Raw genomic sequence first — 17,692 nt, forward strand, 5'->3', positions numbered from 1 at the left:
CATAACTATCCCTGGGTCTGGGATGAAATTTGCACTTGAAACCCACCAAAGGCTGCCGTTCTTCCACCTCAAAACACAAATCTAGCTACCTGCATTATTGCCTGAAAGCCTCTAGATATGGCCTGGAGAAGATGTAAACTCTCTCCGACTCAGTCTCTTGAGCTGGTAACTCTGGGTGAATGGAGGCTTAATGTAAATAGAACAAGGGGTTCTTCGTGATCACATAATCCTGTCTACATGCTCACTTTGGGGAAAATCAGGATGTCATGGGCTTCAGAATCAGAGTTTAAAAGATTTATAGATGCCTTAAGAAGCAAAAGTGAACACCCTTACTCCCAACTCCATGAACTTGCTCAGGTAACTTGTCCGAGGCCATATATCTAGTAAGTGAAAGAATGAGATTAAAATCCAAGTTGTCTAACTCTCAATACCTATGTACATAACAATTTTGCTAAATGAGAATTCTGTCAAGGTCCATGCCAAATAACCTCATGCATGAGAAAATCTTGTGAAGGGCTTACTGTCAGAAAAAGGTAAGGATATCAATGTTTACCCGCACCCTTCACCATTCTCCACCTTTAACGTCTACCCTAAATTTAGTCAATCCTCTCATTCTTTACATAGAGCCCTCATTGGTTCCTCACTATAGATTCATGGCTTCATACTTCACACCCAGCATAGCACACATGCATAAGTGGGTCCTAGCTCCGGCTCAGTAGAACCATCTATAATGGCACATCTATTTTTTAGATCCCTCCCATTAGAGCAAGAGGATCCAGCAGGATGGAGAAACTCATGAACACTAAATTACAATTGGAGAGGGAATTTCAGTTATGTGATAGAGACCGTTTCCCAGAACTAGACACCTGGGCAAAACTGTCTTGGCCATGAAAAGGCTGAGCTATCACCAAGCTTTTTGGGAGTAGCAAGGAAAACTGTCTCATTTATCACCACCTCTTTGGGACATTTGTTTGGGAGAAAAGAGTGGACTTTGTTTTATATTATCTTCCTTGACCTGGTACATTCATTGGGTGGAGAGCTCTGGGCCAGGCTTTCCAGCTCCTTTTAGACTTCCAGAGGTATGAAAAAAAAATCATAGTAATAGAAACTGATTTCTATATATGTATATGTATATATATTATTTTTCTTGTAATTTTACAGTCTACAAAGTGTATGAAATTTGACCTTTTTTTGATGGGAGGAGTAGAAAGTCATGCTCATAATCTTGGAGTAGCCTTTTGGAAGGTACTAAAAATGGCTGTTGGCGGTGATAAAGTTTAAATAAATAAACTTGGATGTGCAAGACAAGAGGCTGCAGATACTGGTCTAAAGTGCAGGTAAATATATAGAGAAAGGCAGAACCCAGCCTGCATTGAGTACTAACTGAATTTACACTGAAAGCAGGAACAAAGATGGTGAGTGTTTCTCATGGATTAGGTGTGGGCTCAGCAGACCTGGAGCCATTTCAGATTTCACGTGAGTTCCGCTCAGAAAGATCAAGTGACCCCAATACAGGATGGGTTCACCTGATTTCCATGGCTGTGCGGGGAGACATAAGTAACCAGTTGAAGGTCAATGTTTCACCCACACTATAGATGTGGGGGTTTGATGTGGGGGCTTCCAATGTACCCATGAAAGCAACTGTGAGAAGAATCATCAGCTTGGAACATCAGCCAGAAAGAGCTGGCTTTAAATATTTGCCACAGCTAGAGGTAACCAACGCAAAATTACATTGGTGCCAGTCAGGTAAGACATTTCCTGCTCCCTCTTATTCCTCTCACTGTTTTAACCCTGGAGGATCCAGAGGCAGCCTGATGGTGAGTAAGGAAGGAGAAGTAATTCACCAGGTAGGTAAAGAGAGATGAAGCCAGCTAAGCACCCCTCTTCCACTGTAAGCACTTTGTTAAGGGGAGAAATTTTAAATGAAATTTGGAACTTTGACTCTCACACTTAAATTACTGAACTTTTAATTAACAAAAGAGGACTATCCATATGACGAGATGTAATCAGATGACTTTATTATCTAGGAGTGATCTGCTCTAGATTTCTTTCAAGCAAAGGACCACTTCCTCCTCAAAATGGGCAATGAGGAGAGATGGAAAAGTTGTTTTTTATTGCACCCGATGAGTCCACTGACTCAAAGTGCTTAGGTGTGTGTCACAGTGTTTTGTGCTGAATTTTCCTGTTATTTGCAAGGGTTCTAATACCTTACAAAATATTCCATGCACAGACTAAACATCAAATATTCCTAGCTAATTATTCAAGTAAGACAAAGATGGAAATTATTAGGCTTACTAAAAGCAGCAAATATTTAGCTTCAGTAGATTCTTATTGGACTTAAGCTGGTTGACTGTTTAATTACAAATTCAAGAAACAAATTAAGTATTTATACAAAATGCAGAAATGTAGTGACAGGGAAAACAGATCTATAAAATTATGAATTGGAAATCAGTATCAAGAAATATTCCAGGAATTCAAATACAAAGAGAAGTTTTAATTCCATAGATCTGGTGACAGGGATACAGCTTGTGGCTTGATTCCTTTACAAGAGAAAAAAGACTGATGCTTAACTCTCTTTTGAGAAAGTTAGCATATAGTCTTCTGTTGGATCCCTACAAAATACTCTGAAAATCATTCTTAGCAAACTCTTCCCACCATTAAAATACATTTCTTCTAACTACTAAATGTCCTTTCCAGTAAGCTGAGAGAGGTAGAGTTTGAAGTAAATATTCATATTCATTCTTAGCTCACTGCAGCCTCCACCTCCTGGGTTCAAGTGATTATCCTGCCTCAGCCTCCTGAGTAGCTGGGATTACAGGCATATGCCACCACGCCCGGCTAATTTTTTTGTATTTTTAGTAGAGACAGGGTTTCACTATGTTGCCCAGGCTGGTCTTGAACCACTGACCTCAAATGATCCACCCACCTCGGCCTCCCAAAGTGTTGGGATTACAGATGTGAGCCACTGTGCCCAGCCTAATTCTACTTTCTTGACTGTTATATTCTGTAGAATATATGTGACATCTCTATATTCAGGCCTTTCTAGGGCCCCAATGCAAAGATAAAAATATTTGGGGCACATGCAATTTTAGTCCATTCCTTGTAATATGCTAGAGGTCACATGAGAAAAAAAGGTAGTTAGAAGTTAGATTTTTCTTGAAATCACCTCTTTTTAAAAATTAATTATTTTCAACTTTTTTGAGTTAGAGGTACATGTACAGGTTTGTACCTGAATATATTATGTGATGCTGAGGTTTGGGGTATGAATAATCCCATCATCCAGGTAAGGAGTATAGTACCTAATAGTTTTTCAACCCTTGCCCCCTTCCCTCCCTCCTTCCTCTGGTAATTCCCAGAGTCTACTGCTGCCGTCTTTATGTCCATAAGTACCCAATGTTTAGCTCCTACTTATAAGTGAGAACATGTGGTAATTGGTTTTCTCTTCTTGTGTTAATTTGCTTAGGATAATGACCTCTAATTGCTGCAAAGAACATGAGTTCATCCTTTTATGGCTGTGTAGTATTCCATGGGTTATTATATGTACCACATTTTCTTTATCCAATCCACCACTGATGAGCATCTAGGTTGATTCCATGTCTTTGCTATTGTGAATAGTGCTGTGATGAACATGAGAATACATATGCATTTTTGGTAGAAGAATTTATTTTCTTTTGGATATATACCTAGTAATGGGATTGCTAGGTTGAGTAATAGTTGTTTTAAGTTCTTTGAAAAATCTCCAACTGCTTTCCACAGTGGCTGAACTAATTCGCATTCCCATCAACAGTGTATAAGTGCTCCCTTTTCTCTGAAGCCTTGCCAACAGCTGTTGTTTTTTGACTTTTAATAATAGCCATTATGACTGGTGTGAGATGGTATATCACTGCAGTTTTGATTTGCATTTCTCTGAGGATAGCGATGTGGAGCATCTTTTCATGTTTCCCAGCCACTTCTGTGTCCTCTTTTGGGAAGTGGTCTGTTCATGTCTTTTTTGTCCATTAATTTTTTTATTTTTTTGAGACAGAGTCTCACTCTGTCACCCAGGTTGGAATACAACGGCGTGATCTTGGCTCACTGCAGCCTCAATCGCCCAGGCTCAAGTGATCCTCCCATCTCAGCCTCCCAAGTAGCTAGGACTACAGGCATGCAACACCATGCCTGGCGCTAACTTTGTTTATTTTTTATAGAGACGGGGTCTCACTATGTTGCCCAGGCTGGTCTCAAACTCCTGGAATCAAGCAATTCTCCTGCCTCAGCCTCCCAAAGTGCTGGGATTATAGGCATGAGCTACTGTGCCTGGCTTCTTTTGCCTATTTTTAATTAGGGTTATTTGTTTTTTGCTTGTTCAATTGTTTAAGTTCCACATAGATTCTGGATATCAGACTTCTATTGGATGCATACTTTGCAAATATGAAAATATTCACGTTTTCTCCCAACGTGTAGGTTGTATGTTTACTCTGTTGATAGTTTCTTTTGCTATGCAGAATCTCTTTAGTTTAATTAGGTGTCACTTGTCAATGTTTGCTTTTGCTGTAATTGCTTTTTAGAACGTCATAAATTCTTTCCCAAGGCCAATGTCTAGAATGGCATTTCCTTGATTTTCTTCTAGAATTCTTCTAGTTTCTGGTCTTACATTTAAATTTTTAATCCATCTTGAGTTAATTTCTGTATATGGTAAAATGTAGGGGCTCAGTTTCATTGCCCTGCATATGGCTAGCCAGCTATCTCAGCACAATTTATTGAATAGAGAGTCCTTTCCTCATTGCTTATTTTTGTCAACTTTGTTGAAGATTAGATGGCTATAAGCGTGCAGCTTTATTTCTGGATTCTCTCTTCTGTTCCATTGGTCTATGTGTTTCTGTACCAGTACCATGCTGTTTTGGTTACTGTAGCTTTATAGTATAGTCTGAAGTTGGGAAATGAAATCACCTCTTTTCAGGATGATCACCTGGGCCCAGGGAGGTCAAGGCTGCAGTGAGCTGTGTTCACACTGCTGCACTCCAGTCTAAGCTACAGAGTGAGACCCTGTCTGAATGAAAAAGAAAAAAAGAAAAAAAAAAAAAGAATCTGTTTTGAAATATTTGTCAAGACCCTCAGGGAGAGATTTCAAATGTAACAATTTAATAGTTTAAAAACCTTAAAAATCCAGGATAAATAAATGCAGGCCTACAGGACCAAACCTTATCAAAACTACTGATGTATTCAGTAATTGGATGTTTCTAATTCATGTGCATCAAAAGCCTTTATCATGAAACAGAGCTATAAAAAGAAATGGCAACATTAAAAAGCAGAGAGGCTAAGGACTTTTTCTTGATTTTTAATTCTGACATTTATTAGCTGTATAATCTTGTAGAAGTTGATACACCTGTTTTCTGCTAGGTAAAAAGGGAATATAGTATCTTCTCTCCACTGGAATTCTGTATCAATTATAAGGCAAAAAGGAAAAAATAAATAGCAGTCACAATATCACCTGATAAGCTGCTAAAGGCCAGAATTGAGGATGTGGCTTAGATGTGTGGGAATAATAGGCTTACTGACACATAGCCCCAGGCATACAGACCAGCTGGACCTGCTGGTCTCCCTGTGCAGGAGCCTGCCCCTGTAAAATATATGATATAGAGGAACAGAATAGAGTGCATACTCTCTGTGGATATTATGTTAAAATGAAGGAGGAAGGAGCTGAGATGAGCATTGTAAAATTCTTCTTCCAAACTTATCAATAAGGAAAGTCACCAGTGTTTCCCTGGGGAGGAGTGAGAGAGGTTGGCAGAGAGCCGACAGGAGTATTGTGCCAGTGAAGCTCTTTCCACAAGGAAAGAAACACTGGAGTAGAGGAAAAGTTTTAGCTCTGAACATTTCCCAGACTCTAATTCTTTTAATACATTGGGCTTGACCATTTAGCCTATATTCCATCAAGCTGTAGCTATCCTCTTGTGGAGAAGAGATCAGCAGACTATCAAGATAATTCTATTCTTACTTTCACAAGGCTGTTCTCCTAACACTAATTGTGATGCTCTGTGGGTCCTCCTGGTACTGTCCAGGGTTGCTTCTGACCCCAGAATGCTCTGAAATAGGCCAGAGTAATACATTAGATAAATTAACTTGTAGGCAACATTGTACCCCTGGCTGAAAATCAATTTCCCACCCCAGATGATGTCTAGCCAAGTTGTCCTATTATATAGTATGTAACTTTGGGTCCACTGAGAAGCAGACGCCAAGAAAGGATGAGAAATGGAAGAGATTTATTGGCAGGGGGAGCAGGTGAAGGCAGGGAATGCCTCCAAAGCATGGTGTAGGTCTGACATCTGTGCAAGAAGAGAGGGAAGGAAGGACAACTGGGTAGGAAGAATCTTAGACTGCAATGCAGCAGTTCTTAGAAAGGTTAAACCTGGCTGATGGAAAATCCTTCAGCCAAAGTTCCTTGTTGGAAGAGTTCTATTTCACTGGAATGGGCATGTTTTAGTACCCTAGTCATCTTCAGTCATTGGTAGAAGCAGCTAGCAGGAAGTGTGGCCTCAGTGTGAACATGATGATGGGTCCAGAGGCCATCAGTCCATTATGATCCTCACAGCAGGAAGTGTGAGCAGTGGATTTTCATGGATGTAACATGTATATAGCCCATCAGAAGTTCTACAATGGCACTGAATGACAGCATAAAAATACCCCAATAATAGTGTATATAACAAGGCAGGCACAGTGGCTCATGCCTGTAATCCTAGTACTTTGGGAGGCTGAGGTGGAAGGATCACTGAGGCCAGGAGTTTGAGACCAACTTGGGCAACATGGTGAGACTTCATCTCTACAAAAAATTTAAAAATTGGCCAAGCTTGCTGGCATGTGCCTGTAGTTCCAGCTGCCTGGGAGACTGAGGCAGGAGGATCTCTTCAGCTCAGGTGTTGGAGGCTGCAGTGAGCTATGAGCCTGGGTGCACTTAAGCCTGGGTCATACAGCGAGACCCTGTCTCTATTATATATATATATATAAAATGGACACAGGAAGGGGAACATCACACACCAGGGACTGTTGTGGGGTAGGGGGAGCGGGGAGGGTTAGCATTAGGAGATATACCTAATGCTAAATGACGAGTTAATGGGTGAAGCACACCAACATGGCACATGTATACATATATAACAAACCTGAACGTTGTGCACATGTACCCTAAAACTTAAAGTATAATAATAATAAAATTTAAAAAAGGCAAAAAAAAATTTTATATATATAAAATATGATTATATATGTTAAAAATATATAATTATATGAATATAAAGCAAGATCCTGTCTGTATTTTATACATATAAAACATATATGATTATATATGTTAAAATATATAATTATATATAATATAAAAGTATACATATTATGTATAAAATATATAAAATAATAAGATGCTTCACATCTGAATATAGACTTCTTCCCATTATCAAATTCCAGGGAGAAATTACAGTAAAAAATATTAGATTCCCTTGCAAGTTAAGTCTAAATAAGTTAAAACCCAAAGAGATTAAAGCCCTAAATCAAATTCTTTTGACTTTATGAGTTAAAGTTTAAAAAAATTAAAGTACAAAACTTGTCTTTCCTCATTTCTTACTCTACTCAGTCCTGGTCAAGAGAAGGCAGATGTGGTGTTCGTTTCCCTCAGTAGCGCAGTTCCTAGAATGGATGCAGTTCCTTCAAGAACTCAGAATTTGTTTTCATGATCCCCACTTAATAAAATAAAGTCCAAAGAATTCCTAGAACATACTGAATTATAAGAGTTCTAGCTCAGTCACTATGCAATTTGGAAAGCAAGCTAATCCCTAGATTGTAATGTTGATACTATAGGAAAATTATGGTTCCAGATCACATCACTTGGTGAGTCCAAAGACCATATCAAAGTTATCTGCATAACGATAGGTGGATGGAGATAATCCAGGCTTGTCTCATCAGGATTCATTCATTCATTCATACTGCAAATAATTACTGAATACCTACTATGTATCAGGAGATATTCTAGCAGCTAATAAAACAGACAAAGATTCTTGCCTTCATGGAGCAAAATTGCATTCTTTTGGGGAAGACCTTTTTTAAATAAGATAATTAAATATTTAACATATTAGTGACATGATAAGGAGAAAAAAATAAAAGAATGGAGTTATGAGATGTTGAGAGGGGATTAGAATTTTAGCTAGGAGAGCCAGGGAGACTATTTTGAATAAAAACCTAGAGGATGTTAAAGAGCAAGCCATGTGCCTATGTAGTGAATGATCATTTTAGGGTGGAGGAAATAGCAAATGCAAAAACAGGAGGCAGGAGTATTCCTGGAGTGTTTACAAAACAGCAAGGAATCCTATGTGGCTGGAGTGCAGTGAGCAAGGTGAAGAGTGATGAGATGAGATCAGGGGGATACAGAGGGCAGACCATGTAGTGTTCATTCTGATGAGATAGGAAGCCAGTGCAGGGTACAGAACAAGGTACTGACTTGAATTAACACGATCACCTGGATGCTTTGCTGAGAAGAGACTCTAAAGGGTAAGTGCAGCAGCAGGAAGACCATTTAGGAAACTGTTGCAATAATCTAAAGAAGACATGATTGTGGCTTGGACCAATGTGATAGCAGGGGAGGTGACAAATGGTTGGGTTTCTGGATACAGTTTGGTGGCAGTCACAGCCAATTTTCAGGAGTCAGGAAATTGTGAGCTTAAACTCAGTTGGGAGAAGTCAGCCATCAAGAAGTTAATCTTTTACTTCCAATATCAGAGGAAGAGCCACTTCTGCATACTATCTGCTTTCTCAGAGAGCGGCATTTGCAACACCTCTGGGTTCTACAAAAGTTTAAAAATCTTCACATGATGGCAGCCCCAATTAATGTTTTACTCAAAGTGCCTTTCCTTTATAACATATTCAAATCCTCTTAATTTTATTTTCCCATTGAGTCTCATGTTTCTGGCACCCCATGCTGATAAGAGTGGGGCTGTGTCTAGTGACACAGCCTCCGAAGATGTCTTATGAACAGGTATCTCAATCCTGTGCCACAGAGGCTATTGCCTGTACCTCTTGCTATAGCCTAAGACCTGCCTCCTGCTTCCTACTATTGTAATCACCCTCAGCAGAGACGTGAATTAAAGCTGCTTTGGAAACATGTACTCCTTTCAGTCTAGTGAGTGTCTACACCTATGTCATGTACTACATAAGACCTTATCTTGTCTTCACTTTGAATGTCACAAGCCTTGAGTGGCATTTCTTTCAGTTACATTTTTTTTCTCTGCAGGAAAGGGTTAAGCCTCTAGTGTTATATATCCCTCCTTTGTCCCATGACTATTTTTCAGAAAGGTTCATCTGATTTTATGATAATTCACCTTGTAACTTAGGTTAATCCCTTTCTTTTTGTGCCTATGACAAGGCTGGTATGATTTGCTGGATTTGAGCATCTTCTTTCCTTTGCTTTCTTACACAGACATTTTTCTTTTTTTCTCTTTTTGTTTTCTAGCCTAGAGATGCGTTTTTCTCACATGCTCCTCTAGGTTTTGTTTTGTGGGGGCTCACATAGTGAGATGTGAAATCTATGCATTCTGTGTTTTATCAAAAAGCAAAGATATTCTCACCTTCACCTTGCTGAGCTGCATAACATTTCCAGGAGACAGTCACCTAGTAGACCAACATACAACATAGGTCTGGATTTGACTTGTCATTGTCTTTTCCCAGCCTTGGAGGGCCAAGGCCTTTACCACTCTGCTACTGGCCTTGCTGAGAGCTGACCATGAATACATGCTTTTTGCAGGGTGGAATACCTGAAAGACAATGGAGAAGGTAAAAGGAACATGAGTTATATTAGATCTTCATCAGACATCCTGTTCCTCATCTCAAACTCACCAAACTCTCTTCTCCTCTCCTGGGGGTAAGTAGATACAGGCCAGGAGAGTTACTCTAATGGATGTTCCCCACGTGGAGGGAAATATCAAAAGTGAGGAATAAGTGCCTCCCCAGGAAAGTATATAAAATACTTAGCACAGTCCTTAAAATGAGGTTAGTGGTCAATAAATGTTAACAATTATATAGCAAAAGAATTGAAAAATTGAGATGAAAATTAGCTATGTTCTGTGCATAGCTAAAGTGGAAAAGTATAAATAGTAGAGCTAGGGCAACAAAACAAATTCTACAATGAAGGATTTTTTGTTTCTCAGTTTTTAGAGTAAAACTCTATGCCTTAAACTGTCCTTAAAATCATCTATGAATACAGCCTGTCTCCGATATGGAACCGGCCTCTTGACAAATGAATACAATTAGGTCAGGTGTGCATTTTTTTGTTGGATCCCAGGACCACAGAATTGGGTTAATCCTAATCTTTGGTAATGACACATACTCCTCACTAGATTGTTCCTTCCTTTCCTCCTTCCCACCCTCCCTTCCATGCTCTCTCTCTCTTCTCTCCTTCTCTCCCTTTCTGCTCTGCCATCTTCCCAACTTTGTCTCTTTTCAAGGGAGTCTTGTAACATTGATACCTTATTTTGAGTGGAATAGAACTTTTGGATTCTCCAGCCTCTATCCCCTTCCTTTCCCAGGCAATTGTCTTTATTTGTGCTGAGTTTGGAGTTGGAATAAACACTGAAAGTGACAGACTTGCCACATCTGGAGGAAAAAACAGCTGTTTTTTGGTTTCCCCCAAAATTGTAAGTGCATCTCTAAAGCTGAAAGGAAGTGCATGGTTTTGACTCAAACTCTGCCCTGTTTGCCAGCCCCAGGGAGTCTTGGTTGAGCTAGGAGGAATGTAACAAAACCTGACAACAGACAAGTATGATGTGGTGTGAAGTTTTATTATGAAACTTATGTGTAGTTCTGCTTTTCACCCAGTTGTGTCATAGGAAAACAAAACATTCATTTCAGTTTTTGCTAACCATGGTGTTTAGAATAGCAGAAAAATATAATTTGTATTTAAATATTATGTAGTGTAACACACAATTCTCATAAGATGTTGAAATTGTAGTATGTATTGATTCATAAGTCAGTTTTAAACTATTTCCTTACTTTCCTTCAATTGAAAGTATGATCATATATGTATTATCGTGTACAATATATCTATATAAAATATATACATTTAAAACAGGAAAGAGACATTTAATTATCATATAAGCAGTTTATCTGCATTAAAGAAACATTAGATAAAGCAGAAAATTAGAAAAAAAATGTATGGAGCAGTTTCTTAATTCATTCTACTAGCAACTGATATTGTGCTAGGTGAAAAGAAAAATACATAGATGACTAGGACATAGACTGTACCCTCTAGGAAAGAGATATAAATAAAATATTTTTTAAATATTCAACAGAAATTTAAAATTTGTCAAGCATTTTTAGTATCCTCTGTATCTTCCTGCTACCTTTAACTTAGTCATTTAGAGTAGGCTATGTTTACCCAGAGATCATATGATCTGTGGGTGACTGGGCCTGGTCATAATTTAACTTGAGGTCCAGTCCTCTTTAGACCATGTGCCTATACTTCCTTCCTTAGAAAGGGCAGGAGTTAGGAAGAAATCTTTCCATTTATTTTGTGGGCCGGGCGGGCTGGGCAGATGAGTGATAAAAGATGCAGTGTCAATGGTGCCCATTGAAGACAAGGAACTACATTAAGATGGAGATAGGGAAGGAACATGGTTATGCAGTGTATTAATGACTCATTCCAAATTTCACTGGATGGACAACCACCAAAGCAGAACATTTTTTCTAAAGTTATTTTGAATAGAGGATTTTAACAAATAAAGTCTGTAATAAAGTTAATAATGTAAAATACAGTAATAAAGTCAATAATTTTAAATAGGTTTATTAAGTCACATATTGGTCATGTATAAAGTTAGGAGTTAAAAATCAATTTTTTTTTAAAAATTGAGATGGAGTCTTGCTCCAGGGAGGCAGAGGTTGCAGTGAGCCGAGATGGTGCCCAGGCTGGACTGCAGTGGCACCATCTCGGCTCACTGCAACCTCTGCCTCCCAGGTTCAAGTGATTCTCATGTCTCAGATTCCCAAGTAGCTGGGATTACAGGTGTGCACCAACATGCCCAGCTAAATTTTTTGTATTTTTAGTAGAGACGGGGTTTCACCATGTTGGCCAGTCTGATCTCAAACTTCTGACCTCAGGTGATCTGCCCACCTCGGCCTCCCAAAGTGCTGGGATTATAGGCGTGAGCACTGTGCCCAGCCAAAAATCAACTGGTTCTACTGTGCCTCATTATGTGGTATTAAGGACAGACTTCCATTGGTTTCAGATAATCAGAACTATATTTCTGAGATTTCAAAATAATTATGTAGGAAATTACACAAAAGAAGTAAAGTAGTGAAACCCTATACCTGTGCTCATTTTATACAGCAAAGAACTGGAAGAACAGTATTTCAGTTCTTTTTAAGTAAGGTGGTTGAGGCCTCTGGACACAAAGGAGAAACAGGCAGTTGTCTAAATAATTCTGGCATCTTCCACAAATGAAACAAAAGTAGACCATTTGTAATTCTCTTGATTACAGTTTTTCATACATTTATATATGAATATCACATTTATAACAAAATCAAAATTACTTTATCACACTCTGCTGCTTTCATTTATCCTTCTACCTATCCATTCATCCAGTAAATATTTATATTGAACTTACTATGAGAAAAGAACTCTGCTTGTCACAGTATTATCAAATGTCTCAGTTGAAGAACAATTGCATGTCACTGGGATATGGGTTTAAATAATAAAATGAAGCTTTCATGGAAAATTTGGATATTATTTACAAAATAACCAAGTGTTAAATATAACAAGCAAACAGTACTCAGTTTTAAAAACTGAGGGTTGTTTGTTTTTTTAAAAAATACTCCTAAACTACCATGCAATTCTGAGTTAGGAGTTTCTATTATTAACAAACAGATGAAAAACTCTCCCCTGGTAAGAAGTGTCATCAGTGGATTTATTTCTAACTCTGTGGTTTATTTCATTATATGATGAGTAACATTTTTTCCTTTGTTACAGAGGTTGAGAAAAATTTGGTGAATATGTTTCATATAAGCTGAAAAAAAAAACCCCAAATAATGAATTGTTCTTCTTCAGACTGTATATCTGGCTCCTAGATCTCTCTTCAGAGCCTGGCCTTCTACTGTTCATTGCCAACTAGATATTTCTGTTAGTGATCCATAGGCATAATAAACTCAGTACGCAGAAAGATGAAATCCATGCAGTCTCACACAAAGCTACTCTGCTTGAATTTTCTCTCCTAATTAATAGTACCACCATCGATCTAGTTTCTCAAGCTAGAAATTTGATTCTCATCTAGAGCCTGCCTTTTTCTGCATTCCTCATAGTTACTAGGTCATCCAGTTCTGTTCATTAAATCTTCAGAAAATGCCTAGAATCTTTGCTTCCTTATCACTGCCACTGCTTTAGTTCCATTCACCTTTATCTTGCCTGGACTATGGCAAAGATCCCCAAAATGATCTTCCTGCCTTTAGTCTTTCAGTACTCTAGTCCATCCTTTACACTGCCATTGGAGGGATCTTTTTCTAACTTAAACTATGCTCATGTCACTCTCTTTCTCTGAAAGTTTCTGAGCGGATCCTCATTAACTACAGGATCGAGTCCAGTCATTTTAGCATGGCACTTAAGAGCCTTTATAATCTGATCCTAACTTTTCTTTTCAGACCCATCTCTCCAAAAGCATCATGTGCTTCTGCCAAATGGGATTGCTTGTCTGAATATATAGCCCATGCAAGTTCTTTTGTATATCTATGAGATATTGACAATGCTATCCTTTTGCCTAAAATGTCTTATTCACTTCTCTATTTGGTAAACCCCTACTTATCCTTCAGTGCCTATCTCAAATATAACCTCCTTTAAAAGGTCTTTTATGAAATCTTAAGAAAGTGTTAGTCCCTTCGCTTCTGTGCTGGGTTGTTCTTTGCTGGCCACTTGAGATCCCCTCTCCAGCATTCTCTACTTGCCCTGCGTCCTCAGAGGTTGACCTCTTTGGATGACAGTAACAGGTTTCCTTGTCCTCTGACTTTCTGGTAGATTTGAACAGTGGGACACGCTGAAAGAAACTCAGAGGACAGAAGAGTACAATTGTAATATTTTCCTACATCCCTCTCTTCCAGGCCTTGGATTGGCAGGGGCTGCATTACCTGAAACAGAGTTCCTGTGAGGTAGCTCTCTCCTATAGCTTGCTTTCTGAAGTTTGGTAATAGCTCTTTCCCTTTGTTTCTTCAGGCCTAGGTGTAGGAGCAATTTTCACTGTTGATGCTTCACTGTCCTTAACTGCCTATACCTTTGTAAATAAATTCCTTATTAAACTCTCTTTAATCACTCCTTTTCAGTATGCCATCTGTTTCCTGTCCTGACTGGTCCACTTCTGTGGTACCATTTAGATCTCTTTTTAACTGTACTTAATACTTTGTATTCCAATTGTTTTAGCCTACCTGTTTGTTTCCCTCATTGAACTCCTGAAAGGCAGATCTGAATCCAGGGAAAGAATCATTGTGACTAGGTGGGAAAGAGCCTTCTCTTCCTAGGAGGGTTTTGCAAAGACCGCAGTAGGACACGCAGAGGCCAGAGCAAGAGGGGATCTCTAGAATGTGCAGATAACCTGAGGGACATGGGATTAATCTTTGAGAATCAAGTAAAGAGCTGCCTGCCTGCCTTACCCATGGAAATCAGAGGCATCAACCTCAAACCAATTTGGGCTGAAGTCTGAGATGCTTGGCCTGGCATCTGGCACCTACTGATACAATCTTCCAAATTTCATCCAGTAAAGAGCCAAGAACTATAAACAAAAGGGCAACGACTGTAAGAACTGTGTAAGATTTCTTAAACTTCCCTAACTATTGGAGGTGAGAGTTGGAGGATCCCAACAGTTTTTTTTTTTTTTTTTTTTGAGACAGAGTCTTGCTCTGTCACCCAGGCTGGAGTGCATGGTGCCATCTTGGCTCACTGCAACCTTCACCTACCAGGCTCAAACTATTCTTGTGCCTCAGCCTCTGAGTAGCTGTGATTACAGGCAAGCACTACCATGCCCGGCTAATTTTTATACTTTTAGTAGGGATGGAGGTCTCACCATGTTGGCTAGGCTGGTCTCGAACTCCTGACCCAAATGATCTGCCTGCCTCGGCCTTCCAAAGTGCTAAGACTACAGGTGTGAACCACTGTGCCCGATCAGATCCCAATAAATATTAATAACACTTTTTCCTGCTTGAGTTTTCAACAAATTGAGAAATAAGATTACAATAGATAAAGGTTAAAATAATAATAATAGTAATGATAGCTCAAACTTCTGGAGAAGTTATTTTGTAACAGGCACTGTTCTATGTGCTTTAGATATGTTAAATCACTTAATCCTCACATCATCCTGTGAGTAGATACTATTAGCCCTATTTTGTAGGTGGAGAAATTGAAGCCCCAGGGAGGTTAAGCAACTGACCCAAAGTCTCATGGCTATTATTAAGTAGCAAACCCAGGGTATGAACCAGTTTGGCTCCAGAGTCTATGCACCTAACCACTACATTATATTGCCTCTTGAGAAATAACACATTTAGTACAGATTAAACTGATGGTGGAGAATGTCGTTTGTATCTATGAACAAAAGGGATTCCTAATAGTGAACCCCTAGTCACAGACAGTGCTGGACTTCTCTAGGCTTCCTTACATGAAGCCAGTCTGTGAAAAACACAGGGCATGGAAGAACAGAAGTTATCTTCTTTTCAGGCTGCCTGCTGAGAGTGGGTGTGGAGGGAGAAAATAAGGGGCTTGTGTTGCATGCCCACTTTCTTTTTTCATACTAATCAATCAGATTAAGTAATTTCTCCTTCTCTGGGAAGGAAAGAGTTGAGGGGTGGACAAAGTTTAGGGAATACCACACTAGTGGAATCTTCTCCATCTGGAAGGAAACACCAAAAATTGGGAAGGGATATTTCCCCCAATGTAGCATCCCTATATTTATTACTGTTAATTTCTTTTTTTAGTTCTCAATATCAATGCTACATTGTACTATAATCATTTGCTTGTCTGTTTCTACTTCCCCCTTCCTTCCTCAACCATGTGATTCTTAACAGCAGAAATCTTTTTCTATTAATCTCTGTTTCTCCAGTGACTGGCACAGGGTAAGCACTCAATAATTGCTTGTTAAATGAAAGAGTGAATAGACATTTCTCTCTAATTCTGAGAGAATACAGAAGTAAGAATTTAATACACACTAAGACTGTTAGCTCAGAAATAGGTTAGCTGCTTCAGAAAATCAGCTACTTGGTTTGAGTTCATCTTCAGCCTCTTTATTGTCCTTTTTTTTTGAAATATATATATACATATATATACGTATATATATATATGTGTGTGTGTGTGTGTGTGTGTGTATATGGGGTTAACAAGTGAGCTGGACAAGCTGAAAGCTTCTTACTGTTACCGCTGCTGTGACTCATGGCTTTACTGAAACTGGAATCAGGAGAGGTGTAAGGAACAACACAGCCTGGGAGCTTGGCACATACCTTGATTATTCCTTGCCTAGGAGAGAGAAGTACAGTGTGGAGGACATGGGCTTTGGTGTCAACCTGGTTTTGAAAATCTATTTTGCAACTTACTAGCTGATGACTTTGGCCAGATTATGTTTGTAGCATAGAAACTATGTTCTAGTAGTTTTTAGGCAATTTCCTTCTGTGAGGACATCATTTGCTTTTCAGAAAGATTCCCATTTGACCGCTTTTATGGAATTACTCATGCTCTAGCCTATGGCCTCCTTTTCCATTTTTGAAATATGCCTGCTTTATCTTCCAGACATCAGATTCTGCTGTCTGATAGCATGTAATTATCGAGAAATGTGATTATTCCTCTTACTTCTTTAATTTATCCTGCTTTTCTAGCTTGTGATTGTATCTCAATTAACTATTTCCTTAGTTACTGATTGACTTAATGGAATCCAGCTTCATTGACATAATTTGTGAACTTTGGCTACCACTAACATCTGTTTGAACCACAGTAGCCTGTCAAATTGCCCTGATATGTTTATTGCCTCTTCTAGAACTGCTGAAGTTTACTATCAATGGTCACTTCAAAAATGAATCAGTTATTTTAGCCTCTCAGTAGAGTTATCCAAATGTAATACATGTTTCCTTGAACAATCAAGCCTGTATGTTTTGTACCTGGTAACACATATTTCTGGGAATACTATATGGAATTATCCAAATCCTAAGCATCTAAAGGAATTGTCATTTATAAACCAGGACACAAAAATTAGTATTTTAAAGATGTCACCAAGGCCTGGTTTTCCAAAACTGAACTCCTACTGCATTACATTATAGACAAATGACAACTTGTTGTTAACTGGCTTCCATTTATTATTCCTTTCATGGTCCTACTATTCCAATGAGTTAAGTTCATACTGTTTTTCAAAGTTTGATTCACAAATTCAGAAACTATTCCCTGAAGGATACTAAACAGTAAGTAACAGTGACATTTGCTCACATTTGTGTATGATTTTACAGTTTATAAAGTATTTTTGCATCCATTTTCTCACTGGATTTAAGTTCTGTAACAGATGATCTTATACAGGCATATCTTTAAGCTACTAGAATAATAATTCTTGGGTTGATATTTTTGACATGCTGGTATATTTCTGCCTCCACAGCCATTGTGCATTCATTCATTATTCCTTCATCTAGCATGTATTGAATCTCCCTTTGTATTAAGCACTGTGCTAGAAATTCTGGAAAA

The 17,692-nt window shown here is 38.7% G+C and overlaps 1 protein-coding gene across 1 annotated transcript in view; it reads right to left on the reverse strand.

Annotated features, from left to right (window-relative positions):
• The window catches only part of PSMA1 (proteasome 20S subunit alpha 1), a 138,787-nt gene that overhangs the window by 96,509 nt on the left and 24,586 nt on the right, over nucleotides 1-17,692 (reverse strand). Inside the window, exon 2 of the mRNA NM_148976.3 lies at nucleotides 9,582-9,767. Coding sequence (NP_683877.1) covers nucleotides 9,582-9,602 — 21 coding nt within the window. The 5' untranslated portion in view covers nucleotides 9,603-9,767. The remainder of the gene's footprint in view (nucleotides 1-9,581; nucleotides 9,768-17,692) is intronic.

The sequence above is a fragment of the Homo sapiens genome, chromosome 11, assembly GCF_000001405.40.
Source record: "Homo sapiens chromosome 11, GRCh38.p14 Primary Assembly".
Classification (NCBI taxonomy): domain Eukaryota; kingdom Metazoa; phylum Chordata; class Mammalia; order Primates; family Hominidae; genus Homo; species Homo sapiens.